At 51.8% G+C, this 27,938-nt stretch overlaps 1 protein-coding gene and 1 long non-coding RNA gene across 8 annotated transcripts, besides 3 other annotated features; one reads left to right on the top strand and one right to left on the bottom strand.

Annotated features, from left to right (window-relative positions):
- On the bottom strand, window positions 231-27,042 carry CSF2RB (colony stimulating factor 2 receptor subunit beta). Of its 7 annotated transcripts, none has more exons than XM_011529903.3 (14): window positions 26,993-27,042; window positions 18,387-18,634; window positions 17,303-17,426; window positions 14,493-14,683; window positions 11,111-11,268; window positions 10,863-11,031; window positions 10,160-10,295; window positions 9,840-10,015; window positions 7,766-7,905; window positions 6,676-6,838; window positions 5,229-5,355; window positions 4,983-5,040; window positions 4,018-4,121; window positions 231-3,293 (listed from the first exon to the last, which is right to left on the bottom strand). In XM_011529903.3, exons 2-14 carry the CDS (start codon window positions 18,460-18,462, stop codon window positions 2,168-2,170), a joined length of 2,748 nt encoding a protein of 915 aa, XP_011528205.1. In that variant the 5' UTR covers window positions 18,463-18,634; window positions 26,993-27,042; the 3' UTR covers window positions 231-2,167. The 7 variants fall into 7 exon arrangements, with proteins under 7 accessions (XP_011528205.1, NP_001397756.1, XP_011528206.1 ...); NM_001410827.1 differs by having other exon boundaries at window positions 5,229-5,319; XM_011529904.3 differs by having other exon boundaries at window positions 9,840-9,997.
- Window positions 13,967-15,166: an enhancer, noted in NCBI's record as "BRD4-independent group 4 enhancer chr22:37321546-37322745 (GRCh37/hg19 assembly coordinates)". NCBI's record gives its function as "activates an origin of replication core promoter dependent on BRD2, P300/CBP, MED14 and CDK7 cofactors, and independent of BRD4, by STARR-seq in HCT116 cells {active_cell/tissue: HCT116}" and the evidence as "EXISTENCE:reporter gene assay evidence [ECO:0000049][PMID:35650434]".
- Window positions 14,727-22,198, top strand: LOC105373023 (uncharacterized). Its single transcript, XR_938230.2, has 2 exons — window positions 14,727-14,920; window positions 21,731-22,198. It is a non-coding gene; the product is annotated as an uncharacterized LOC105373023 (long non-coding RNA).
- Window positions 17,812-18,382: an enhancer, noted in NCBI's record as "H3K4me1 hESC enhancer chr22:37318330-37318900 (GRCh37/hg19 assembly coordinates)". NCBI's record gives its function as "activates a minimal SCP1, AML or CMV promoter by ChIP-STARR-seq in primed H9 embryonic stem cells {active_cell/tissue: H9 hESC(primed)}" and the evidence as "EXISTENCE:reporter gene assay evidence [ECO:0000049][PMID:30033119]".
- Window positions 18,802-19,181: an enhancer, noted in NCBI's record as "active region_18942". NCBI's record gives its function as "activates an Ori minimal core promoter by ATAC-STARR-seq in GM12878 lymphoblastoid cells {active_cell/tissue: GM12878}" and the evidence as "EXISTENCE:reporter gene assay evidence [ECO:0000049][PMID:35858748]".

Here is a 27,938-nt window from a genome sequence, read left to right as displayed (position 1 = left end):
CTCTGTACAGGGGAGCTTCTTCCTTCTTTCTTGCCTATTAAACTCTCCACTCCTTAAAACCACTCCATGTGTTTCCGTGTCGTTTTATTTAAATCGGCGCAAGACTAAGGACCCTGGTGTTCCTCCAGTCACTGGAGCTGTATCACTTACAATAGCAATTGAGGTTTCAAAGAGCAACCCCTTCCTCCAACTACACCAACATGCACACACAAATTCAGGGTTTCACTTTGTTTTATGTTACAAATATTTTATTGCAATTTTTTCCCTTTAACAATGTCTGGATATTTTGGAATTAATATCTCGGACTTCTTTCTAATCCACATTGGTTCATCTTGTTCATTATGAACAGAGGATTCTACTTTACAATGTACTAAAATGTTGTTATGTATTTCAGGACCATTGAACATTCAAGTTGTTTATCATTTTCTTTGACCACCAACATTGCTGTAATGAATAGGGATTTAAGAGCAAAAGTAACGAGAATACTTGCTTAACCACTTATGAAAACATATCATAAAAGTAGAACAATCAAAATGGTGGATGCCATAGAGAAAGCAAGGTAACAAAATAGGAAGCCTAGGGACCAATAAAGTATATATACAAGGATTTCCTATATCACAAAAGTAACACTTCAGGTACATGGAAAAAGAATTTCAGTACCAAAAGGCACCTCAGTCTCACATCCACACATTCAAAAATAATTAAAATTTTACATGAAAAGTTGGAAACACAAAATGAACTAGAAAAACAATATATAAATTAGGACAAACACTGCTTTGCAATGGGAGGACCTTTGTAAATCTGACAGTAAAAGTGAAGAAGGAGTTTACTAGGGATCTGTTTGACATTACAGAAGCATTCATATTCATACACCATAAAACCTCATATACAACATTATAAGACAAACAACAGATTTGGGGGAAAAACACTCCACCATCTGTGAAAGACTGTATGTCAATAGTCAAAAAGACTTAATCAGAAAATGATAGCACCCAACAGAAGAAAGACCTTAATGGGCTTGGCCCAGTTAAAAAATACCAATCGATGCCTAAGATACCTATAAAAATATGTGCAAACTGGATAACTAAAATAATGCAAATTAAAGCAATTTAATGCCATTATTTTTCCTGTATCTGAAAGGCAAAGATTTAAAAGAACCATAATCCCTGGTGCAGGCCCAGGCATAGATCAGCAGCCCCTCATCTGTGGCCGGTGGGAGGGAGAGTTGCCTGGTCTATCTGGAAGAGTGGCCACCCGGGCCATTTGGACCAAAGGCCCTAAAGCATATATGCCTTTGGGGCATTTTCCTTTGTTTGGCAGTTTCCCCTGACTTTTCCGCAGTAGACGTGGGCTCTGGACTCCTCTCCTGATGTTCCCCAGGTCCCGCCAGCCTGCCCACCACTTGGGCCGTTAACTTCTCTACATGACGTGGGGTCTCAAGGGACTGGAGGTCCCACAGACATCACTGAGACAACTAGCAGGGCTCCCCAGAAGCTCCCAAACAGTCTCTCATGTGCGTCCCTTGCACCGCCCCCCCGACCCCCAATACCATGCCCATTTCTCGGAGTGACAATCGAGGCTAGTCTGAATTCCCTGAGCCTCACTGAGCGTGCCCAGTCCTGTGCCACTCTTCCAAGCCCTAACCCCCACGGGTGCCCACCTGGTGCCTCCCACCTCTGCACCCAGATGAGAATCATGTCATGTGCATCAGCGACTGCCGGGGACAGGCAGCCCACACAAGTCCTCAACACAACCAGCCGCATCTCAGTCTGATAAGGCTCAGCTCAGACCTCAGCCCCACTCTCATAATAAATCAGTGAAAAAAGAAGGAAGAAAAATGGCAAAAGCAAGGAAACCTGATTAAAAAAATGAGGGGGAGATGGAATGAGTATATCTAGAAAGTTCTAATAATGCAGAACCTACAAATAAGTTAACCTGACAGGAAAAATGTGTGCATGTACGTGTGTGTGTGTGTGTCTGTGTGAGCGCAGGGAGAGAAGTGATTTGCTGAAGGTCAAGGGGGCCGGAGCAAGGCTATCTCCTTTCCCAGGCCTCTAGCTACCTTGACAGGAGGCTGCCCCTTGGCTTTGCAGAAATGACTGAGGAAGGTCAGGCGGGAGGGAAGGCAAGCCCTCTCCATCCCCTTGCCTGTCTAGGCCTGGGGGTCTCAACACACCTCCCCAGGCTTGTTGACCTCCCAAGGGGGCAGAGACAGGTAGTCCTGCTGCTTCAGGGCTTTGAAGAGCTGAATGACGGGCACCTGGGGCACAGCCTGGCCTGGGGGCTTCTTGACTTGAAAAGCCTGGTCTAGGTTCTTGATCTCAGGACCGGGTCCCGGGGAAGAAGGTTTACTCCGGAGCGAGAGAGGGCCGGGCCCCAGGCCGGGGAGGAAGCAATAGTCGCCCACTTGCTGCAGGACAAGGAGGCCCTCGGGCTGTGGGGATGTTGGGGACACATCTGCCGGGCGTTCCCCTGGGTTCAGGACAGGGCTTTTGGCCTCAGGGGGGACAGGATTGTTCCTTGGTGACCTGGGGGACCGGCCCTCAATTGGAGGGAGCTCCACATAGCCCTCAAACCCTGACTTCACAGGGCCTGGGGCTCCAGGGGGTCCACTGGCCAGCCCAGGACATAAGCTGGGGGTCTGGTCTGAGGGGAGGCCCAGAGAGGGAACTAGGGAGACAGACGAGGCCCCTGAGTTTGGGGTGAATACCAGGTCTGCAGAGGAGACATAACCAGAGGCCACTCCAGGGTCCTCAGTGTCCCCAGAGCTCATGGGTATAGCCACAGGGCTGTCCTTTTGGTCCTGTCCTCCCACCCTTGGCCCAAGAGCAGGAGGGGCAGGGCCTCCCCCGGACTCCAGGGAGGGACTCCCTGCAGCCCCCTGGCTCGGCCTTCTCTCCACTTCCACGGCCTGTCCTGGTCCCATCGCCTGGGCCAGAGGGACCAGTTGCACCTGCCCCCCAGCAGGCAGACACAGGTACTCCAGGGACCCTGGAGGTGGGGACTTCTGGCTCCCACCCTCCTGTGGGGGCTCCGGCTGGCCCAGGATGTCAGGTAGGGAGCGGCTGTGGGGCGGCCCCAGGTAGGGCCCATTGAAGTCAAAGCTGGAAGCCTGTTTCTCAGGTGTGTGGGAGGCGGCAGGCGGGCCTGGCTGGGGGCTGGGGGGCTGCTCTGTGGGTAGATCTGAGGCAGCTGGAGTCGTGTCAGGCCCAGATGGTGGATCACAGACATGCTTGGGGTCCTCTATGGTGAGAGGTGACACCTCGCTGTCCCCGAATCCTACAGGGAACACCCTGTGGGAAGAAAATGGGCAGAAGAGTTGGGACCACCCTGGGCAGATGATCCGGGTCAGGCACAAGGGTCTTGGTGGGGTGGAGATGGTTCTCTGGAAGCCCTGATGTCCCCCAGATCTCACAGAGAGAACCTGAACGGGACAGGGTTGAGGGAGCAGGGGCCCCAGAGAAGGACATGGGACATGGATTCAGTCTTTCCGTGGCTCAGGAGCTCCATCCTCCATGCTGAGCTCAAGGTCTTCCTCTGCAAGGCTGGTACCCTCTCCCTTTTGACCTTAAAGTCCATCCTCCTTCAGCACCAGGCTCATGCCCAGCCTGTGCACTGGGCAACCCTTCCATCATTCTATCAACCATGCCACCCCCTTCTCCCTGCCGAGTTGGTGGTCAGCTGCCGGCTCAGGCGCCGAGTTCCCGGGAGTCTGCAGCCCCAGCTACCCCATGAGGCCTCTGCAGTGTGACGCCTCTGAGGCAGCCAGGGAGGGGAAGGCCAACTGTTTCCCTCTTTCACTTCCGGTCACTCCCCTTGTCTGGCACTTCCTTACCTGGAAAGAGGAAGTTCTTCCTCACATCCCCCCCAGGTGCCTCCTGCTTTAGTGCAAACCAGCTCCCTTGGATCCCTTCACAGTGAGCCACAGGCAGCCTCACTTGAGTCCCTGATTTCCACAATGGAGTCAGCCCCCCGTATGAACCCCAAAGGTCAGGAGTGATCCACGAGCCCACTCACCCCTCCAGCTCAGGGAAGCGGCTGCCCCACGGCCCCTGGTGTGGGGGACTCCCGCTAGTGAAGGCCGACATGCTGCCTGGGGGCCAAAGCTCTGCGCTCCCGTTCTGCAAGAGCAGAGACATTTGGGCCGGTGAGCATCAGGAGGTCCGAGGTGGGGGCAAGGCAGAGGGTGACGGGGGTGCAGGAGGATTCAAGGAGCCCCCAGACAAGAGAAGAATCTCCACTTCTTCAGGACTGGCCACGGCCTTTTGACACCAGCAAAGTGAGGCCCAGAGAGGGGCGGGGACTTCCCCCATGTCCCTGCTACCTGAGGACAGGGCCCTTTTCCTGTGATTTTTCTAACCTGGAGTGCCTGTCTCCATGCTCACCCCCATTTCTCCTCCACACCAGCCAAGAGACCCCTCCACAGGCAAAGCTGGCCCTGCCTGCCTGACTATAGGGCTCCCATCACCCACACGCTGGTGTCTTCCCCATGGTCATCTCAGCCTCCCAACATGGCCCCCAGCCTCCTGTCCCACCCCTTCAGCTCCCTTCCTGAAGGGTTTCTGTCTCCACCCTCAAGATGCCCTGAGCCAGAGCAACTTTTGCCACCTGGCACCACTGGGACCCTCAAAGCTCAGCCCAGGTATCTTGTCCTTGGGGAGCCCTTCTGCCTCCTGACACCCCATCCATCCTGGTAGCAGGAACCCCCTCTGTGAGCCCACCCTGTCCCAGGCATCCCCACACTCAGTTCTCTCCACTGGGCTCCATGCAGAGCTCTGGCAGGCAGGGCCAGGTGTGGGCACTCCAGGGAATCCCGGGAATGAATTTCCAAGTGCTGGCCCCACTCCCAAAGCTCCCAAAGCCCAGTCCACCTACATCCCTACCACCCAAAGCCCACAGGAAGGGAAGGAGGAGGTGGGGACAGAGACAAGAGAGGCAGGAACAGAGAAGCCCCCACTCCGCCCCTCGCAGCCAGTTCCTACCTGGAACAGGTGGCTCTTGCTGGGGTTGGGGATCTTCTCCTCCCACTTTCTGCGCAGCCTGGAAGACACCACGGAGGTGACAGCCATCAGAGACCTCATGGCCAGCTGCTCCCATGCTCATGCCCAGAGGGGAAACTGAGGCCCAGGAAGGGAGCGGCAGAGCAGGGCCTGGAGGGAGCTGGGTGGGATTCCCCAGTGCCCTCTGGGGTCTCGGCTGCCACCTCCAGCCCCACAGAGTCCCCTCACCTGTACCCGTAGATGCCACAGAAGCGGAGGGCCAGGAGCACAGCGATGGTGAGGAAGATCACGATGAGGGCCAGCACCCACATAGGCAGCACTTCCAGCAGCCGGGGAGAAAGAGGAATGTCAGCATCTGGGCGGGAAATCGACCTCAGGGCAGGGAGTGGGGTTGGTGCAGTATTCCTTAAGACCCCGCTCTGTGCAGGCCCAGGGCTCTGGAACTTACTGCCTTGGGGGATTAGGGGAGAGAGGCCAGATCCATGCTGGGAAGGGCATTGGTCTGAACCCCCACAGTGTTCAAAGTGCTGGGAGGACACAGGAGGGTCAGATCCTTTCCAGGATCTATAGCACAGGAGGTGCTACAGGGAGGGCAAGAACCACTGTTCATGGCAATCACAGGGGACTTCCTGAAGGAGGTGGCATATTAGCTGGGCCTCCAGTAATAGGAAGGATTAGAGGTGGAGATGGGGAAAGGCATAGTGGCAGAGGCACCAGCAGGAGCAAAGGCCCCTCCAGAGGCCCCTGATCCCACCTGCTGCCCAGCCCTGAGCTCCCAGGCCAGGTTCCTCCAGGACTCCCCTCTTCCTCCTCTCTTGGGCCCATTGGTCCGGCCTCCTTTCTACCTGGTTGTGGCCCTCTCCCTGGGCCCCTGCCGCTACCAAGCCTGGCTGGGGACTTGGGTTGCTCCCAATATCTCCTGTATCCTTACTCTCTCTGAAACCACCCCTTGGACTTGTCTTGTTCTGCGGGAGTCGCCTGGTGGTCACTGTGGTGAAAGGTGAGGGGTCAGTGCACGCAGCAAGTGCAGGGAGGTGGGAAGATGAAGGAATCACAGCAAAACCTTCCAATCCAAGGACCCAGTCTGTGGCTCTAGATTTTCTTGCTTCCATGGTAACAGGAAACTCGGGCTGAGCAACCACAAAAACTTGGTAGTCCCAAAAGCTAAGAAACCAAGGGCCATATTAACAGAAGCCTAAGTCCCAGTTTAAAGGAGGAGCGATCATGAGACCTGCTCTCCTCTGCTCCCTCAAGTCCTCACTTGCAGTCTGTACTGAACACCAGGTGTCACTTTCCAACGACTAGTGGTCCAAGGGAGGGAAGGAGGCCTGAGTGGAGTGGGGTCTGGAGCCCCACATCTCTGTGCCCACCCAGAGATGTGGCATCCTCTGCCCAGCTGTGCTGTCTCATGAAGAGTGGGTGGAGAACTTCTGACTCCACGCCCAGTTTCTGCCTGCTTTACTCTTTGCCTCTTTCAACTTGCGGGTCTGATGACCAGGTGGGAGGTGCTCTCTGCAAAGGCCTTCCCTTTCTCTTTGGCCACCATCTAATCGGGGAGACGGCTCACCTACAAGTTGTTGCAGGCCTGCTACGGCTGCTGCATTGGGGATTTTCTGGCAGTGAGAAACTATGAGCTGGTCCTGGCCAGAAGCTCTGGACTCCAGCCTTCACCTACCCGACTCGGTGTCCCAGGAGCGCGCCTCACTCCACTCGCTCCAGATCCCGTTGTAGCCGGTGCGGGAGGTCCTGACCCTCACCCTGGCCCAGTACCTGGTGGAGGGCTCCAGGGCTGGCAGGGCCATGCTGTGGGCGTTCTGGAGGGTCTCGGTCTTGCTGTCCTGTGGGTTGGCACTGAGGGTGAGGCCTGGCCCGGTGCCCGTGGGAGCAGCTGCAAATCCCTCCCACCTGGACCCTCGGCTTCGCTGGCTCCTAGCTCCTGCCATACCCCAGGCCTGCTGCGGCTTCTCTCTCACCACCGTGGATCCTCCCTGAGGGCCCACCCACGGACAGCACTTCGGATGGCACCGGGGACTCCACCTGTCAGTGCAGCCCCTGACATTGACAACACTGAGGCCCAGAACCCTGAAGCCACCTGTCCCACCCTATTTTGAGCCTTCTCAGCTCCCAGCCCTTCTGGGGCAGCTTGCACCCATATTGTGGCCTTTTTAGGAACGCAGTGCAGGCCGACTGGACTCTGGACCCTGAGAATGGGGGTTCAGGACCCCAGGGCCCGCTCCTGGCTCCACCACTGGCCCACCTCCCTCCTAGCCTCAGTTGCCCCATTTCTAGACTGAAGGTGTGGGGTTGGTTCTGTGGTTTCTGTTCTGGGCTCTGTGGAGGCAGGGGACCGAGCCCTGGCCTGGGCGCACCCCCGACTCATTAGAAGCAGCTCTGTCTGAGCCTCCATGTGTGTCCAGATGAGATTCCTCTGAGGAAATAACCCCAAACTTTCATGACTTTTGAAAACCTTCTTCCCAGTGGCCTTTCAACCCCTCCCTGCCCAGAGGGTCTTCTGTTGCCTGGGGACTCAGGGTCAGCTGTTCACGTTGGCCAAGCCACGCCACTTTTCCAAACCTCAGTTACTTCACCAAGAGACAGGACAGTGACCTGCTGACCACACAGCCTAGTGATCACCACGTCCCAGTGGCTACCTCTCACTGGTCACCTGCCAAGGGCCCGACGCCTTGCAGGTGGAATGCCTCTGGTTGCTTTCCCTTCTCCCGCCCTCCCCAGTGTTTCTCCCCTCCCTGGGCAAAGGCCCTCACCTTCCACGTGGCCGTGTCTTTCCTGTACTGGATCTCAAATGTGTGGTCTATGTGTTCGTATCGCATTTTCATTGTTTCCCAGCGCAGGCTGTAGCTGTCTCCATCCTTGGTCACGTTGAGGGATGGAGGGGCCATCTGGACTGGAGGGAGGGAAGCTTTCAGGAGAGTCATCATACCCACCCTCCAACGGAACATTCCCCGTGTCTCATGCTAGACACTGGGGCTGTCTCCACTGGCACCAGACCCCAGGTTCTGCCCATGGTTGGATCCTTTTCATCCCCACTTCACTATATCATGTTTTGACCTGAGTGGTATTCTCGTGGGAGATGCTGAGATACACTTGTTTTGTAGTGATGTGGCCCAGTGCTTGCACTACTCCTATTTTTATTTTTATTTTTTGCAGTAAAAATAAAACCACTGTTAGTTGGTTCTATTCTAGGCAACTGGCTATTTTTTTTTTTTTTTTTTTTGAGACGGAGTCTCACTCTGTTGCCCAGGCTGGAGTGCAGTGGTGTGATCTTGGCTAACTGCAACCTCTGCCTCCTGGGTTCAAGTGATTCTCCTGCCTCAGCCTCCCGAGTAGCTGGGATTACAGGCACCCGCCACCAAGCCCAGCTAATTTTTGTATTTTCAGTGGAGACGGGGTTTCACCATGTTGGCCAGGCTGGTCTTGAGCTCCTGACCTCACGTGATCCACATGCCTTGGCCTCCCAAAGTGCTGGGATTACAGGCGTGAGCCACCGCGCCCAGCCTGACTATGTTTTAGCCACTGTTATACATACTTATTCTACATGAATTATTCCACTCCATTCTAACAGCCCTATATGGTGGGTACTATTAACCTTCACTTTTCACAAACAGGGAAACTGAGTCACAGAACCATTAAGTAACTTGCCCTAAGGAAAGGCAGCTAAGCAGTGGTAGAGGCAAAGATTGCAATCCCACCAGTGTGATGGGCTCTCTTGTCTGACACTCTCAGAGGTGTAGGGAGTTGACTAAAGGCCAGGACATTCACACGTTCTCATCGCCAGAAAATCCCCAATAAAGCGGCTGTAACAGGCCTTCAACAACATCTAGGTGAGGCCTCTCCCCAGCCAGATAGTGGCCAAAGAGAAAGGGAAGCCCTTTGCAGACAGCACCTCCCACCTGGCCGGCAGACCCACAACTTGAAAGAGGCAAAGGGTAAAGAAAGCAGAAACTGGGCAGGGAGTGAGAAGTTCTGAACTCTAATCTTGATCTGCCTACTAATAGCTGTGCAGCTTTAAGTAAGCCACTCAACCTCTCTGAGCTTCAGTCTACCCAAAAGAAAAAAGAGAATGCTTATAACCTTGATGCCTTCACTGTATAAACATAATATGAATGCCCGTAATTTGCTGAGGTCTCTTATGTGCCAGGCATTATATGAGGCCCTTAATATATCCTGTGCTTTTGAACAATCAGAATTCCTTTTTCCAGTGAGGATCCCAAGAGAGTTAATGGTAAATTCAAACCCAGGTAATTAAGACAAATTGGCCTCTGCCCTTCACATATGCTAAAGACTGGATGGAAGAACTTGGTCATCATGAAACAACGTGAGAGGTTCCATTGCACTGGGGTCCTTGTTACATCACAGAAACGAGGGATGTTAACCTCCAAGGATCAACACTATTTGTACACACCACAGGCTCCAGTTGAAAAGTACATCATAGATCAATTACATTAAAGATAGAATATCAGTCGGTGGGGAATTTCGGATATCAGAAAGAGGAAAATCCAATGAGGAATGAAAGGGAAGGTTTTGGTGACAGGACCAGGAGGGTGTGGCTAGCAGTGGAGATTTAGAGAGCTGCAGGATGGGAGAGGGAAGCAGAAGAAAAGGACAAGAGATCAGAGGTTTTAAAGATCTGCTCCTGTTTTTGGCCACTGCCGTCGTGGTTTCATTGCTTCTCTGTTCACTTTTGGTCACTGGACTGCATCTCTTTGAAAGTGACAAACATGAAGACGGGGCCAGGAGGAACCCTGAACTGATTCGGGTTACACAATGAGGGTGTGCTGGTCCCAGACCATCCCCACAGCGGGCTAGGAGCAAACTCACTGTTCACTGAGCTCTTTATGTGTTTCTCTGCCCTCCTTGGCTGAACAGAGACGATGTATTGGCCGTGGGTCGCGGGGTCGGGCACGGGAATCTGGCAGTGGTGCCTGGTGTGGAGGCTGCCGAGCCCCTCCCTCAGCACTGGGGAGCACTCTTCCTCCCTGAGGAGCACAGCAGAGCTGAGGGCAGGGAGAGGGAGGGCACACGGGAGGGAGGAGAGCTTAGGGTGGGCTGTGGCTTCTGCTGGGGCCCCAGGGACAGGAGGAAGCTTGGAGAGAGCAAGGCCAAGAGGAGGGGAGGGGATGGAGAAAAAAGATGCTCACCCTGCATCTGGGCTGGGCTTGTAGAATAGGCCAAAGGAGACCGAGCTGGCCACCTCCTTCCTCACCTCCCAGGAGCAGCTGAGCACGGCGGCCCCGTCAAAGAAGCACTCCAGGTTCTGGGGCTGGGCCTCATCCCCTGGGTTGGAGACAGGTCCTCATGTACTCCGTCATTCATCCCTCCCATAGCTCTCAGTGGGTGCCCACCGTGTGATTCATCACACAGAGGTCATGAGCTCTGGGGCCAAAAGACCAGGGCTGAAACTTCAGCCTGAACCTGCCAGCTGTGTGTCCAACAGCTCCGAGAGAGAGAGAGAGAGTTCTGTGCACCTGCACGCCCTCCCGGGAGAATGGAAATAGTATCTAAGTTTCAGTGTTTGGGGATTGAACTGAAAAATGTGGGTAAGCCCTGAGCATCCTGTAGCCTCCATTAACACACAGCTGCTAATAGCACTGTTGTTGTTATTATTGTAATTGCCATTGGCAGAGAACGTGCAGAAAACTGGAAACCCAAAGTGAACAGATGCAGAGTCCTACTGGTCAGTGGTCACAGTAGAGGTGGGACGGCCCAGGGACGCTACTGGAAAGATGGCAGCAGGAGATCTGGGAAGCCCCCAGGTGGAGCCCAGGAACCCTGCTGTGCCAGGAGCTCCTGATGAGCCTGCCCTCCCACCACGGGGCATTTCCTGGGCTCTGGCAACATTACCTGGCTGGGAGTCCCAGCAAACCTCTGGGCTCCACTTGCTGGGACGTCCTGAGAGCCGAGAACCTGGGGCCAGGCGGGTCCGTACTCGGGCCACGTAGGTGCTGCTGGGCATGAGGTGCTCTGGCCCCAGGGTGGCCTGGGAGGTGTTGGAGAGGAGGATGGCTGCGTCCTGTCAGGAGACAGTGGGTGCTGGAGGAGGGGTGCTGCCCATCCCTTCGGGCTGGGGCAGAGCTGGCCGTGGTTCCTACCTCCCAAGAGTCCTGAAGCCGCTTGTAGACCACCTCAAACTCCAGATCCCCTGGGGACAACCAGTGGCTCTGGGGACTCCCAAGGGCCACACTCCAGGTCAGCAGGAAGTGGTCCTGGTCGGTGCTGATCTGCAGGTCCCTGGGCTCAGGAGGCTGGACTGGAGGGGAGGAAGTGAAGGGCACCTAAGGGCTGGACCGCTGGGGGGCAGTCAGGGCCTGCATGGCCTTTTGTGTGGACACAGGGGGTTCCAGGCCACCCCTGCCCCCAGCAGCTGAGGGACCTTGAGCAAGACCCGTCTCCTCTGTGAGCCTCAGCCCTTCATCTGCAAAACTGTAGGGTTTCAACATGAAAGCAATGGAAAGCCGTGCAGATTGCAATGCGCACGTGACCCGAACTCCATAAAAAGCGCTGGCGAGGAAACTCATTGGAGCCTCCTCTGTCCTGAGGCTCCCCACTGCCCACGCTGCGGCCTGGGTGGCTCCTGCTAGCAGAGGGGCCTGCGGTTCAGCGGCCTCCCCCCTCCTGCTGTCCAAGCTCCCTTCCTCCTGCCCAGGGTCCTTCCTGTTGTCAGTGCCCCGGGCAAATGCCTCCGGCTCTAGGAACATCCTCGGATCTGCATCTCCAGGCGGAATCCCTCATTCCTTCTCTCATTTCACCATAGCTCAGTGGAATTCCCTCCACCAGGGCCTTACCACAGCTGAGGGATTCCTATGCTTCTGTGTCTGCCTCCCCTAAGGTGTGAGGAGATGGGGGTGGGTGGGATTGGTCCTGACCCCCTTCCCTACCTCCAGGCTGAGATGCGGCTTCTCAGTGAATTATGGGGCAAGGTGAATGAGTGAATGAATGAACAAATACGCGTAAGCAACTTTGGGGCTTCTCATGAAATCCTTGCAGCCACAAGGCAAGCATCTATCTCCTGGGAACTCTGGGTTGTTCAAGAAAATGCAGAATGAAGACACGGCACCTGATTTCTGGTTTCTGGTGTCTGCTTGCTGAGGGATGGCTTTCAAACGAAAACATCCTCACACATAGGATGTAAGTGCTCTCTGCTGGACATGGGTTATGGCATGCTAGAGCATGTCAGGAACCATCAACCCAGAACGGCAGACACACAGCAGGGGAACCGCCCCTCCTCACCCACAGCCAGGACAGGCGTCCCTCATGGGTCACTGCACTCCCAGCCCCCGAGGCTGTCATGGAGGGGGAGCTCTTCCCGGCAGAGCCCTCTCGGAAGCTGCCACAAACTGCGCAGACTGGGAGCCCCATCAGAAACCTGCTCAGCCAACTCAAGAGAAACCTCTTGAGTCCACCAGCTCATTTCACAGACGGAGAAACTCATAGAGGAAGTAAAATGTCCAAGGTCTCCAAACATGGAGACTCAGAGCAGATCAGATGCATGCCTGTCGCCTGCCCAGTACCTCCCAGCATCCTTGATTCATTGCTAATCTGCATTAGGCTGGACCCTACCTCGCTACTCAACACAGGCTCCAGGAGGCCAAGGGCCACACTTCTCTCCCTATATCTAAGTTGTCTCCATCGCCTTAGAAACCTTCCTTGTTTCCAGGCTGTAAGCTCCAAGGGCAGGGTTGCTGGCTGGTTTGTTGACTGCTTCGTTGGCTTATGTAGGCGCTCAAGGAAAGAAGGTTGAATGAATGAATTGTGTGTATATCTGAACTATGATTTGCATGCCCTCATGTCCCCATCTCCTAGCCAGTTGTGTCCTCATCATTTCTAGGAATGAGTGCTTTAGGCCACAGCCTGAATTTCAACTTCTTTCCCAACTAATGCTCCTCCAATCTACCCTGTAAGTCCCCTGTCCCCAGCATTCTCACATCCACATCTGATCATGTCATTTCCCCTCAGTGCTCTCCATGCCTAGAGGGTCCCCTCTACCTGAGACTGCAGGAGACAGAAGCCTCTCCAGGGACAGGTCCTTACCTGTGTCTCCTGCTTCTTCCCACCGCTGTCCAGCCCTTGAAGCTGATGCTCCCTGGACACAATGGTGAGCAGGTTCCCCAGCTGCCCATGCCCTTCTGATCCCCCAGCCTCTGCACAGCTGTTACCCTGCCAGAGAGGCTCTTACTGCCCTCCCCTCCTGTCTACCCTTCAGATCTGAGTTGCAAAGCTCTTCCCTCTGGGAAGCCTGTTCTGATCTCCCAGGGGCCCTGCCCTTTACCCCCTGCATGAGGCACCCACCCGCCACTGTCAGTAAGTTCTCACGGTGGACGGCATACAGTGTTTCCCCTCCCTCCAGCCTGGGCCCCCTGAGCTCCATTCGGGAAGGAAGGGACTCTCGTGTCCATCAAACCCATGTGTGGAAATGTTGCTTCTGATGGACTCCTGGTGGCCTAACTGATCCCCTCCTCTGGCAGTGGCTTTATGATGTTGTGGCAAAAAAGGGCAGGAAGCCATGGTCAGAGCCCCTTCCGTGTGACCCTTGCAAAGAGCACCAGGTGGTTCGGTGGTTAGGACCGGGGACTCAGACCATCCTGCACTGGATCTCAGCTCTGCCAGCAGCAGTAGAGAGGCCTTGGACTAGTCACCTCCCTCTGTCTCCGTTTCAGCAGCAGCCAAAGGCACCAATAACAGCACCAAGCCTGCCGTGGTTCTGAGACTCCCAATGACAGCCTGCAGTACCTCCTACCAGCCTGCCACCAGCATGGGTTTTTGCCACGTCAACGAAAACTTTCATAAAACGTGTCCCTTTTCAGGTTTAGCTTCATTCTAAGCAACCATTTCCTTGAATCCAGGACTTCGAAGTGCAGGTTATATTTCTTTCTAATATAGAGGCAAATAAAACCTAACTACATAAAATAATCATCTACCCCACCCTAGACCACAGATGGCTTCATGGACCACTGTGGGATTTCGGCCCACACCGGGGCCCCTCCTCCAGGGCAGCGAGGAGACAAGCTCCCTGTCTACCATGCAGGAAGCCCCCGGGAAGGCTGACCCCATCTCTGTCATTACTGCTCAGCTGTGGGACTTCAGAGGAGGCATCTGACCTCCTGGGCCTCAAGGGCCACATCCAGGAAATGGGTTGCTTCAGAGATGAGATGAAACAACTAAGCGGACAGAGTTTTCTAACTTGGTAGGTTTCTAAGTGAGTGGTGAGAACGGTTTTCTTCAAGACAAGCCTGCAGTGCTGGAAGCCCATGGCTTAGTGGGAGGTGGTAGCAGCCAGGGGCACAGGAGAAGCCTTTGTCAGGGGCCCCTCTGCTCTGAAGTCTCCATGTAACCAGACCATACCCTCATCCCTCAAGAAACCCTCACCCAACCCCAAGCCACAGCCTTCTGCCTTGAAGACTCCCTGGACCACCCCTGGTGCCCCCGCTGTCCACACAGGAAACCAAGCCCCGGGCAGGGCCCCCAGCCCCTCACCATGCTGGGTCAGAGTGACGGTGAGCCGGGTGCCCAGAGGCCTGTCTGGTTGGAATGAGAAGTAGTCAACGTCAGTGACGACAAAACTCTGGCAGGGAATGACACATCTCCTGGGCACGCAGCGGGGATGGGGGCAGGCTGACCAGGGCATGTCATCACTGAGGTCACAGGACACTGGCTCCAGGAGGTCCCTGTTGGGAGAGGACACGGCTTAGCCCAGGGTGTATGGGTATCACTGACTCACGAAAGGTTCCTCGAGTGCTCACCACATGCCTGGCTCTGTTCAGAATCAGGGGCCAGCAGTGATAAAACACACAAAAATCCTGCCCACGGAGCTGCCATCCTGGGAGAAGGGGACCCGCATGGAACAAAGTGTGTAGCGTGTGCAGTGGAGAGAACTTCATGTGGAAAAATAAAGCAAGAAGCAGGTGAGGAGGGAGGAAGGGCTGGGCCAGGGAGGCAATTTGAAATATGGGACAAGCAGGCTTCTCTAAGGAGGTGACCTGGGGGCAGAATGTTAAAGGCATTGAGGGAGGGACTGTGCAAATTGTGAGGATTTCAGGAAATGGGAACAGCACGTGCAAAGGCCCTGGGACAGGCAGAGTTTGGTGTGCTGCGTGGCTTGGCCTAAAACCAGTGCGCAGGGAGTAGAGCGTGTGATAGGGAGGTCTAGGAGACCCATCCATCTACATGATGGGATTGGATCTCACTGCGAGTGAGTGGGAAACAGTCATGAGCAGAGGTGTTGTAGATTTTGATAAATGCTTTGAAAGGATTCCTGAGGGTCCTCGGTTGCGAATAGACTGAGGTGGGAATGTGGCAATGTTGGAAGCAGGGAGCCCAGTTACGAGGCTTCTGGAATATTCAGGTGACAGGAAGTGGCGTGCAACAGGGTGGTCAGGCTGGCGTGGGTGAGATTCATGTTCTGCTTGAGATAAGGTTGGCAGCATTTGCTGGTGGAGGGATGTAGCAGTCAGGAAGGAATGGTGACAAAAGAGACTTAAAAACAAAACAAAATCCTCCCTGTTGTTTAGTTTGAGCCACTAGGAGCTCCCATTTAGAAAGGGAGATGGGGAAGACAGAGGCAGCAGCGCAGCTCGGGTGAGAGCGGGACTTTGGTTGAGGACGTTTGGAGTCGGAGACACCTGTTGTCTAAGTGACAGGTGGAGAGGCCAGTACGCCTGGAGGGCTGGAGCTTAGGGGAATTGTGGGCTTGAGGTCACCTTTGGGAGATGCCCCAGGGGCCTGAGGGGGTCTCTGCAGAGTGGATACAGCAGAGAGGAGGTCCATGGACTGGGCCTGGGTGTCTTGCCATCAGGAGGCAGCAGACAAGGAGAAAGAGGAGGATGGGCAGGGCCCCGGGGGCACTGGGTGAGCTGTGGGCAGAGTCAGGTGCAAGAGAAACTGCAGGGAGGCCGCGGTGGTCCTCCTTGTCAGGGGCTGCCCCTGGTCAAGTAGGAAGAAGGCGGAGGCCCAACCATGAGATCCTGCTCCCTGGGACATTTGCTGACTTGGACCAGAGCAGTTTGGGTGGCCTGGTGGGGGCAGCATCCTAGGGGAGTGGGCCCAGGAGGAAATGGCTGGAAAGACACTGGACGTGGTGAATGTGGACAACTCTTTAGGGAATGCTGCTGTCAAAGGAAGCAGAGAAAGAGGGGCCGCAGGGTTGCCAGGTCAGGAGATGCCCAGGCGCTGCACTCCTGTGGGCATCTGAGAGGGGGTTGGGGCAGGTTTGCAAGGCAATTGGGAAAGATCCTGGGAGAGGGCATGGTGGGTGGCACAGGGCAGAGTGGGGACTTGGGGGCCGTGATGTTCCTGAGCAACAGGACCAGACAGCATCGTGTCTCAGGCCTCAGACAGGAGCCCTGGTCCAGGCCCAGGCCCCGGCGGTGGGCAAAGGGGGTGGGGAGTGTGAGTGTGGGGTGGGTGGGGAGCTTCTCCCTGGTCCCCTGTTGTGTCAGAGCAGCAGGAAGCAGGTCACAGGGAGGGGCAGGATGGTCTTTGAGGAGAATGGAGAAGGTCCGACAGAGACGCCCTGGAGAACTGAAGGCGGTGGAGGGGTGGGGGTGGCAGAGCCGGCCCCGCCCCCCAACGCTGGGGTGACCTCCAATGGGTTGTCATCTGCCTCTCTGGTTCCAGCTATTTAATTACTTAATTTATGGCTGATTTAGACCCTGGCCAACACCCCAGAGCGATTCTGGTCCCCTTCCCTTGTGGCACGTGCCCAGGAGAGCTTGGGTGGGAGAGGTGGCAGCCCACATACGGAGGGGGGGCCTGGGAGAGCGCGGAGCCCCCTCCCAGACACGTCCACACAGCTTGCTCTGCCACTGTCTACCCCGTGGCCAGGGCTGGCACCTCACCTCCAGGGCCTCAGTTTTCCCATCTGTGAACTCCCAGGCTAGCGCCATCTCTCCTTGGTCTACTCTGGACAGGCAGGCAGTGGCACAGCTGGGGCTTCGTGGCCTGGCCCTGCCCACCTCACAGTGAGGAGGAACTAAGATAGGTCATGTGGGGCAATTGTGTTAAATTGTGATGAAACAAGAGAAGATTTTCACCATTGCCACCACCACCATTGTCACCAACATCAGTGTAGGAGGCACTCCGCAGAAACCCCAGGTCAGACGGCAGCACCCGGCCTCGCAGGTGCCTGGCGGAGCAGGAGCTCTTGCAGGGCCTCCCTCCTCCTCTGTCCTCTGTCCACTCCCACCCCGAGGCTGACCTGACAGGTCCCTCTCTACACTGTCGCCCCATGCCAGGCACAGGGGACGTCGTAGCCCCTGCCCGTGGCCCCTGCCCCCAGCATCACTCACTCATTCACCCGGCGAATGAGGGTCACGTTGACGAGCCGCTGGGCATCCTGGGTGTCTGCCCACCTGCAGGTGATGTGGCTGGTGTAGTCGTTGTAGCAGCGCAGGGTCTGCAGCGGGATGGTTTCTGACAAGAGGGGTAGAAGGGGGTCACCTCTCTTTCCTGCAGGGACCCTTGTCACCATCACCCCCAGCTGCTTTGGGATGTCCCGCTCTGGGGAGGGGTCTCCCAGGTCCCTGCAGAGGCACCAGGTGGCCAGGCACATGTACATGTGTTCATGTCTGCCGGGGTGGGCTCCTGGTTGCGGACCCTCCTCTCCTGGCAGAAGCAAGACATTCTGTTGGTTCTCAGCATGGTTTCTGGGCCTCCGCAGTGTGCTGTTCCTGGGCACGGTCCCCTCCCCCCACCCCAGGACAGGGACATGCATCAAGCACAGGCCTGGCCCCTGGACCGACTGTGCAGCCTGGGAGGGGGCACACACTCAGCCCTGGGATGCAGCGTGGCAGAGTTCTACCCTGCAACCTCCCACCTCCTCTCTAGTCCCCGTCCTCAGGAGCCTGGTATTTGTTAAGGGGACTGTGGTCCCAGCATTATCACAGAAGCCAGGTCTCTGGGAGCCCTTGGGAGGGGCCATTTCACCTCAAGAGCCCAGGAGCATCCCAGTGCGGGCTTCAGGCACAAGGAGGGTGCTAGCGGCTGAAGCAGGGAGAGAACCCCAGCCAAGGCCCTGCAGGAGCAAAGTCCCGGAGGTGGGAACCACTGAGGCACAGAGAGTGTCTGCTGGGGAAGGAGGGGCAGGGAAACGGCCAGAGCAGCCATCCTGGAGCCTAGGGGCCGGGAGTGCCGCCCTGAGAAATGTGGGCAAGGAAGCCAGACACGCTCAGCTGGACTTTCCAAGACAGGATGAGCAGGAATGTGCAGGAGGAGGGAAGCGGGGGAGGCCCAGGGAAGGCCAGGGGGAGAGACAGAGGGAGGGGAGCAGGAGGAGGGCTGGCGGGCAGGATCCTGAGGATACGCTGCGGCCCTCCCCCAGGGTGCAGCAGTGAGGACAGGGACAGGGAAGTGGGTGGGAGCCACGGGACTCACCTTCTGCCCCTGCCAGGCTGCGCTCCCAGCACAGGGCCAGCAGGGCCATGGAGAGCAGCCCCTGGGCCAGCACCATCTCCCTGGTCAGCTCTGGACAGGCAGGCACCAGCACTGGTGGGTGCTGGCCATGGGCATGACAGGGTCCTTAGTGTCCTGAAGTCCTGTGTTCCTGCCCAGCTGGGAGCCAGGCCAGACCCATTTCACAGGCTCTTGGGACCTCTCCCTCCTGGCCTCTGCCTCCTCCAGGCCTGCAGAAGGAGATGTCAGCAGTGAGCTGCCCCTCCCCTTCCACGTGTCCCAGGGACACCGCCCGTGTTGTGGGGACAACCCAGAGAAGTGGCCCTCATGCATGACCTCTCAGTCTCCTGCGGCATGAAGGCAATGGACATGCGCTGTGTGGCCTGAGGGACTGGGTCCCCACTTGGATCACTGACACCTACCACTGCACAATGCGCTAGACAGCAGAGCAGCTGAGACAGGGGCCTAGGATTTGACTCCTACTAAGCTCCCCGTGGGCTGCTGGTCCACGGCTGTTGGATGCCACAGTGTCATCCCCTGGACATGAACACATGTACACACACATGTCCTCACTTCCACAGGGCCTGTGCTCTCCCCACCCCTGCTCCTTTTACCGTCATCCCCCCACCCTCTGCTTGCCAGTTCCCTTTTCTCCTCGGAGGCCGGGGGTTTCCTCCCTTTCATTTCACTGGTCTGGGAAGTACCCAAGAGAGCAGAACAGACAAGTGTGGCTCCTTTTCTTCTGTTAGATTGTTGGAAGCTTCACTCAAGATGCCCATGCAAACACACACACACACACAAGCACACGGACACACGCAGGCACACACACGCACAACACACAGACACACACAGATACATACATATATACACGTACACACAAAACATGCACACACATACCCACATGTATACACACAAATGCACACACAGACACACACACAGAGGCAGACACAGACACACACAGATACATACAATATACACACATATACACACACAAACATGCACACACACATACAAACACACACACAGAGACACAGACACACATACACACATGAACAACACAGATACATACATGTATATACACATATATACACATATACACACAAACATGCACACACATTCACACATACACAGAAATTCACACACAGAGGCACACATACACAGACACACATACACATACATGCACAACACACACACACATACACACTCGCATATACCACCTACACACAGACATACACACACACATACAGATACATGCACAGACACACATACACACACACAGAATCTATCAATGGACATGCTGGCTGGAAACAAACTCTACTTGACCCCAGACTGAGAAGGAATCAGGAATCAATGTGAAGCGATGAAATATTAAATTTAAAAAAATGCTAAAATCATTGATTAACAACATAAAAATGCCTATCTAAAACCCCATTTTACACCATTCCCCAAATAACAAGTTAATTATAAATTTAAATGTAAAATGTTACATCCTATGAAAGCTGCAAACCAGAGGAGTGAATGCCTTTGAACTCTTTAAGCTTAAAAGCATAGGAGACATCACAGAGACAAAGGCTGGCAGAAGTACATAAAAGTGAAATCTTCTGTAATTTGTCAAACTGACTGAACCATAAAAGGAAAGGACGGAGTGCAAACAGAAAATCTTTGCACCAATGTACTCATCCGTTAGGCTACTGTAACAACATACCATAGATGGAGTGGCTTACTAGTAACAAAGTTTATTTCTCATAGTTCTGGAGGCTGGGAAGTTCAAGATCAAGGTGCGGGCAGATTCACTATCTGGTGAGGGCCTGTTCCTTGCAGTCTTCTCCCTATAATCTCACATGGAATAAGCAAGGGAGCTCGCTGGGGTATTTTATAGGGTGCCACAGGCACTACCTCCAGATATTCTCACATTGGGGATTAGGTTGCAACATAAACTTGGGTGCACTTCAACATATAGACCATACCAACCAGAATTATGGAGGACAGGTTAGTGTCTTTTACTTTAAAAGGTTAAAACAAATCAATATCATCAAAGAGCACAAACAATACTCACATACACAGAGAGAATTCATGATAGTGGCTGACAATATTGCAGTGTTTTCCATGAGCCAGGCATTATTCAAAAGGTTTTACGGATATGAATACATCTATGTATAGGTTACCACTAGAAGCTCCACTTCGTAGATGAGAAAACAGGGGTGGGATGTTATGTAATTGGTCGACAGTCACACGGTTGGTAAGGAACAGGTTGAGATTCGAGCCCGCAGTGGGCTGCCTCTAGACTCTGTCCCTGACCTCTATGCCAATAGTGATTCAGTTTCCCAAATGTCAAAACAGCGCACATCTATTCTGACATATGCTAACCCAGCAGACACTTCTACAGACATGTACAGATACAGCAAAAATAAAAGAGTACATTAAGACATCTAAATCAGCATCCTCAGGGAGATTTGAGAATCATAGCCATTTAAAAGAAGACACTTCTATGCAAAGAACAGAGTTCTTGGAATTTGAAGATATGAGATCCATAATTTAAAAAAAAATCAATCAAAGCCTGGGCGCGGTGGCTCACGCCTGTAATCCCAGCACTTTGGGAGGCCAAGGTGGGCAGATCACTTGAGGTCAGGAGTTTGAGACCAGCCTGGCCAACGTGGTAGAACCCCGTCTTTACTAAAAACGCAAAAAAAAAAAAAAATAGCTGGCCATGGTGGCGCACGTCTGTAATCCCAACTATTCTGGAGGCTGAGGCAGGAGAATTGCTTGAACCTGGGAGGTGGAGGTTGCAGTGAGCTGAGACCGTTGCCATGGCACTCCAGCCTGAGACTCTGTCTCAAAAAAACAAACAAACAAAAAAACAACAACAATCAATAGTGGGCCAAACCACAGAATGGATACCACAAATGAAAAAGATAGATATATAAAATAGAGCAAATAGTCAAGGAGATGAAAAGTCTTAGAGAAAACTTTAGGTTTGGGAAAGAAATTCAAAAATTCCAGCATTCAGAAGCAGGGGGTGGAGAGAATTAAGAGCAGGTATGGCAGACAATGTCAGCTACCTAGTCTGAAAGACAATGGAAGACCGTGTCCCTTTCCTCCTGGCAACAGAAGCCAAGGTTTTAGCTGAGTTTATTGCTACACAGAATAAAAAGGTCTATTTCCTTCCTATACTCCGTTGCCACTAGGTGCAGTCAAGTGACTAAACGTGATCCAAGGAGATGAGAATAGAAACATTGTGTATGTCTTCCAAAAAAGGCTGCTCAATGGCAGTTGACTTAGGTGGGAGGGGTTCATTTTTGTCCCTCTGTCTTTCTTCCTTCTTCCAGCCTGCAACTTGGAGGTGATAGCTGGAGCTTCAGCAGCTATTTTGGACCATGAGGTTACCTTGAGGATGGAAGCCATATGTGAAGATGATGCAACAGAAAGAGAGGAAGCTGGATTCCCACTCTCACTCTGGAGCAACCATACTAGCCTGAAACTGCTACCTCTGGGCATCTTTTATATGCTGGGAAAAAGAAACTTCTATGTTGTTAAGCCTCTGTTGCTTAGGGATTTTCCATGTGCAGCCAAACAGATACAACAGCAAATGGGGAAAGCTTCACAGGGCTTTCAAGGAGACAAGAGGCCACTCAATAAAGAACAAGACTCCTTTTTAAAATATTTTTCAAAGACAGTAAGGAATCTGTATTCAAGGGGGGAGGCTACTACGATGAGGTTTTGTAGTAGGGGACAGAGATCAGGGTTAACTCCCAAGATTCCTTTTAATAAAGCCATGCCTAGTTCTCACTGGTAAACTTTTCGTCTTGCAAGAATATGAGGATGATCCCAGAAATGCTTCCAGAAGAAAACAAATAGGATACTTTGAATGCAACAAGGGTCAGATTGGCTAAAGATTTCACATAAGAGACTCTGAACTTTAAATAGATGTCTTGAAAATACCAAGGGAAAATTATGCTTAAACCTAGAATCACAAAATGCCAAGTTTTCTTTGACATTTAAAGGACACAAAAAATTTTGAGTATGTAAGGACAAAGAAAGTTTTTCAGATCTTTTCTGAAAGAAATTACTCTAGGTTATATTTCAGGAAAAAAAAATCCAAGAAAGCTGAAATACTGAGGTAAATAAACCTGTAACACTTACAGATAAGTTAAAGAAGAATATTGAACTAAAACTCAGATGATTTTAATGTGGGAGTTTGCTGTGAGGCTGGGGTGGAGAATGGAAGAGAACTGAAAACTTGCTAAAGATCTCCTCTTGTTTTGGAAGATCATATATGTGCTAAATAAACCCAAATGCTGGTAGCAAATATGGTTTCTTTAAAAAAAATACTATTTTTTTTTTTTGAGACAGAATCTCACCCCATCACCCAGGCTGGAGTGCAATGGCATGATCTCGGCTCACTGCAATCTCTGCCTCCGGGGTTCAAGCGACTCTTGTGACTTAGCCTCCCAAGTAGCTGGGACTACAGGCATGCACCACCACGCCTGGCTAGTTTTTGTATCTTTAGTAGAGGCTGGGTTTCACCATGTTGGCCAGGTTGGTCTCAACTCCTGGCCTCAAGTGATCTGCCCACCTTGGCCTCCCAAAGTGCTGGGATTACAGGCGTGAGCCACTGTGCCCGACCCAGAAAATATAAGTTCAATACATTTTAAATCCCTAAAAACATAAAGATTAAAAATCACTAAGAATGAAGAGTAAGCATGGGGACAGGAGGATGACAGAGAAGGGATGGGAGGGACAGAGAAAGGAAGAGAGAGAAAAGAGAAGAGAAAAACCAAACACCTTCTTACTCAAAATAAACATGCACATATTACATTCCCAAGCTCATGAAGAAATTGAATGGCAGGGATAAACATTCCCAAGCTTATGAAGAAATTGAATGGCAGGGATAAAAACTAGGGGGGAAAAGCAAAATACAAATTCACTCCAGACAAAAACAATTTCATAGGTCAACCTGACAAAGACTTTTAAAAGAAGAAGACATCATGGCCAAGTAGAGGGTACTCCATACATGGAAGGAGAACCCTTAAGAAACCTATTTATGATTCAAACAAACAGATGAACGGATTAAAAGGGAAAAAAGGATAAGCTGATCTTGACAGACACTCCTAAATATTTAATAATAAACAAGACATTTCTGGTTAAATGAACAAACAAACCCTGGCAAATGAAGCAGTGGCGGAAACGTTGGCATCACTGAAAGTCTGCCAGAAACCAAAGGCGATGACAGAGTCAAGGGGGCACGTTAGTGTCCTCCTGTCAAAGCCTCACACAGGAGGCTCTCACTATTGTCTTTACTTCCAGTGGTCAATGTCCCTCAGATCATCTCTAAATTCAATGCAATCAACATGAAAATTCCAAAAAGGAATTTAATGGGCTTGGCAAACTGATTTTTATTTTTATTTTTGAGTTGGAGTCTCACTCTGTTGCCCAGGCTGGAGTGCAGTGGCGTGATCTCGGCTCACTGCAAACTTTGCCTCCTGGGTTCAAGCAGTTCTCCCACTTCAGCATCCCAAGTAGCTGGGATTACAGGTGCACACCACCAAACCCGGCTAATTTTTCGTATTTTTAGTAGACATGGGGTTTCACCGTGTTGGCCAGGCTGGTCTTGAACGTCCAACTTCAAGGGATCTGCCTGCCTCAGCCTCCCAAAGTGCTGGGATTATAGGCATGAGCCACTGTGCCTGGCCTTGGCAAACTGATTCTAAATTATAACAAACCAGAGATGAGAGACTTGCTCCATTCGTTAGAAAAATAATAAGGAATGTAGTGACAGCCAAATGGAAGAGAAAACAATAAAGAAAATAACGAAGTATGTATAGAAGCCTAGGATGTAATAGGGGCACTTCAAATCATTGAAGAGAGGAGAAATCACACACTCATAATTAGCAATGTTAAGACAATTAGATGGTAATTATTTTTAAAAGTTACTTTACACATTACTCACTTCTCTAAATTCTAGGTGGGCTAAAAATCTCAAAGTCAAAACCAAAATAGTAAAATTATTAAAACTCTTTCTGTAATCTTAGAGGTTTCAAGACACCAAACCAGAAACCATAAAGTAAAAAGAGGTTTACAAGACACCTGTGATCTTAGAGGTTTACAAGACACCAAAATCAGAAACCATAAAGTAAAAAGTAATGACAGGTTTGACTTAACAATGAAAACATTTTTATATGACATAAGACATCTTAAACATGGTAAAGAAAAAGATAAGTCATAACCTGGGAGAATATATTTTCAACATATATAAATGGATTATTAATACACGTAATAAATGAGTCACTCCAAAAGTTAAGATGTAAAAGAGAATTCAACAGGAGATGAACAAAAATTTCTCCACATTCATCATAAATGAAATCCAAAAGGCCAATCCACATATAGAAAATGTACAACTTCACCCATAATCAGGGAAAGAAAAAAATCACGCGACATTGAGAATTTCCATACATAATATTGGACAAAATTAGAAGATTGATAATTTCTCTAAAGGTAAATTGGACCCTTTATGCACTACCTTGGGGACGTCAGCTTAGCTCAGCTACTTTGAGGCTGATTTGACAATACCTATTATAATTTCTAACGCACAACCTCTGCACAGCAATTCTGCATTTAGTAATTTAGGCTACAGAAACACTTTCACAGATGTGGAAAAATTAGAAACAATCTAGGTGTCGATCAACGTGAGATTAGATGAATTGTGGTGTACCCATCCTAATAAATGCCACATATTTCTTAGGGTTACTTAACGAGTTAAATCTGTATGTATTATTGTAGAAATTTGGAAATATTCCAAAATACAATATTAAGTGAAAAAATTAGGAATATATATATATATATATAAATAAAATAATCCCATTTCTGTAAAAAGAAAAACTACCATCCTGGCACAGTGGCTCAAGCCTGTAATCCCAGCATTTTGGGAGGCTGAGACAGGCGGATCATCTGAGGTCAGGAGTTCGAGACCAGCCTGGCCAATATGGTGAAACCCTGTCTCTACTAAAAATACAAAAATTAGCCACGTGTGGTGGCTCATGCCTGTAATCCCGGCTACTCAGGAGGCTGAGGCAGGAGAATCACCTGAACCCGGGAGGCAGAGGTTGCAGTGAGCCAAGATTGCACCACTGCATTCCAGCCTGGGCGACAAGAGTAAAACTCTGTCACAAAAACAAAACAAAACAAAACAAAAAACAAACAGGAAAAGAAAAACTATATGCTTGTATCATGCTTAGAAAATGTTCTGGAAGAATACATGTGGTGAAAAGAATAAGCTATGGAACTAGGGAAAAGAAATTGCTGGGGACTTTGTCTCTTGTGCTACATAATTCTAGATTATTCTAATTTTCATGAAGGTAGGTTTCTGTGTAGTTGCTTGTTTAGCATTAAATACATTCCTTATACAACTCATGAATTATCCTGTGGTGTTGGTATATCTGTATACTGGAACAATATAAATAAAACTGCTGGATGAAAAAAAGAGTGACCAAAAGCTAATAGGAAATGTTTACTCATTATAAAATGATTACAAAGCAGGAAAGATGATAGAAAAAAATTAGAATTGGGCTGTACAAAAATATAACAGCAGGGTTTTTGAAGACTAAAAATTGCACATATGCAGCTTGTCGCTAGCACCTGTCTGACAAGGTCCCAGTGAAACACCTGCCCTTTCATTCTCAGGGCCAGTACACACACCTGCACACACCCTGAAGCAGGCACCCCAGATACCCACCCACCCAGCCAGCATACTTGGGTACAGAACACACACACCTGGGCCCCAACCCAAATCAGCAACCCAAATCAGCAGGGCAGAGTGTCATAACTAAAAAGACAGACAGACAGAGAGAGAGACTGAGAGAGAGAGAGAGAGAGAGAGAGATTGCTGGATAGTGCCTGGTATGTCTCTGGGCAAAGTGCTGGGCTCTTTCTCAAGTTCAAAGTGAGCTTCTCAAGCCACACCGCACCCAGCTCTGGGCCTCAGCGCAGCAAGCTTCCAGGTTTCACCCTCTGCCTCTTAGTCTCTCTGCACTCCTGCATCCCCAGACATCCGCACATGCACATACACACACAGGCACACACACAAATGCACACACGGGCAAACACACGAGCATGCGTTCTCTCTCTTTCTAAACCAAGATGTCAGGGACTATCCATGCTCCCCATTCCACAGATGAGGAGACAGAAGCCCAGGGTGGACAGGGGGTGCTCTCACTACCACCAGCATCTTAGTGACAAAGCGAAGACAGACTATAGGTGCCTGACTCCCAGGCCTGAGCTCTCTTCACCCCACTAGGCGTCCTTCCCACCAGGACCAACCAGATCCCGCTAGCGAGGCTGAGTCCTCCCCAGAGCTCTCCTACAACACCCAAGCAGCTTGGCACCCCTGGCTGCCTCCCCATCCACTGGCCGCCCTAGGAGTCTGGGCTCAGGTCATCCTAAGAGGCCAAGCCCTAACTCCTCCAAGTCCCCAGGGCACAGCTACCCACAGGACGCCCCCCAGGCTCCCCCTGTCCTTTTTCATCCTGGACTCCCCACATTCCCCCCTGCTCTGACCCCACCCCTCAGCCCTGCTCCTGGACGCCGGGCCATACCTCTGTGTGGTGGGAGAGACCAGTCTTCTTCTGGAGCCTCTAGGCAGAGTGAGCCTCCCACGTTTCCTATTTATGTTGATGTCATCAGGAAACAGAGAAGCAGAAAGAGGAAGCAGTGCCGGCCCAGGCCTACTTTGCTAATAGTGCACGTGACTTTTCTTACTTCCAGAAAGCCTCCTACTCCAATTTACCTTCCTATAAACTCCTAGGCCTCCTTCAAGCCTCAGCTGACGCAGGGCCTCCTCCATGCAGCCTTCCCTGACTGCTTGATGGGGATGCAGGTGGAAGTGGCTGCAATAACCATAGCTGGTTTGAGCCCAGAGCCAGACAGATCTGTGTTGGACTTCCAAGTCCACTGCTTCTTAAAGCGTGTCCTTGTGCAAATCATCTGCGTGTTACTTCCCCAAGCCTCGGGACATCCATCTGTCTGTTACTTTTGCAGAAGCATCTACAAACCTGGAAGGACTGTTGAGGGAATCCAGTGAGATTCTGTGCAGGAAGACCTTAGCTCAGAGCTGGCCACAGGAGAACCCCCTACAAGTGGTAGCTGGTGGCATGTTGATTTCCCCGATGTCCTCTTTGCCCTGCCGCCCCACCCCACCATGTGTCATATGGTCATGTGTGTTCATGGCTGTCTTTCTTCTGACACTATCTTCAGTGCTGGCTTGTGTCCGGCTTGCACTTCCCTCCCAAATACCTAGCACATGGCCTGGTACAGAGGAGAAATTGCACCTTTGACTGTGTGCAAATGAATAGATGAATGAATGAATGAATGAATGAATGAATGAATGAATGAGTGGCTCCCTGAGCACAGCAGGGCCAGCAGAATTAAGGTCAGGTGAGTGAGGCAGTCTCTCGTGCTCAAAATTTAAACAGGCATTTAAAAATTCAGTAATTGTTGTAAGTAATATTTTAATGCAATATGGTTTAAAAAAATCCCAACTGA

The sequence above is a fragment of the Homo sapiens genome, chromosome 22 (assembly GCF_000001405.40).
Source record: "Homo sapiens chromosome 22, GRCh38.p14 Primary Assembly".
NCBI lineage: Eukaryota > Metazoa > Chordata > Mammalia > Primates > Hominidae > Homo > Homo sapiens.
This window is presented reverse-complemented; position numbering and strand designations above follow the sequence as displayed.

Coding starts and splice junctions, on each gene's coding strand:
- CSF2RB (XM_011529903.3), bottom strand. CDS start 18,462: ATGGTGCTGGCCCAGGGGCTGCTCTCCATGGCCCTGCTGGCCCTGTGC. Junction 14,684..17,302: donor CTCATTCGCCGGGTGAATGA/GTGAGTGATGCT, acceptor CTCTCCCAACAG/GGACCTCCTGGAGCCAGTGT. Junction 11,269..14,492: donor CGTCACTCTGACCCAGCATG/GTGAGGGGCTGG, acceptor CCTCCCCTCCAG/TCCAGCCTCCTGAGCCCAGG.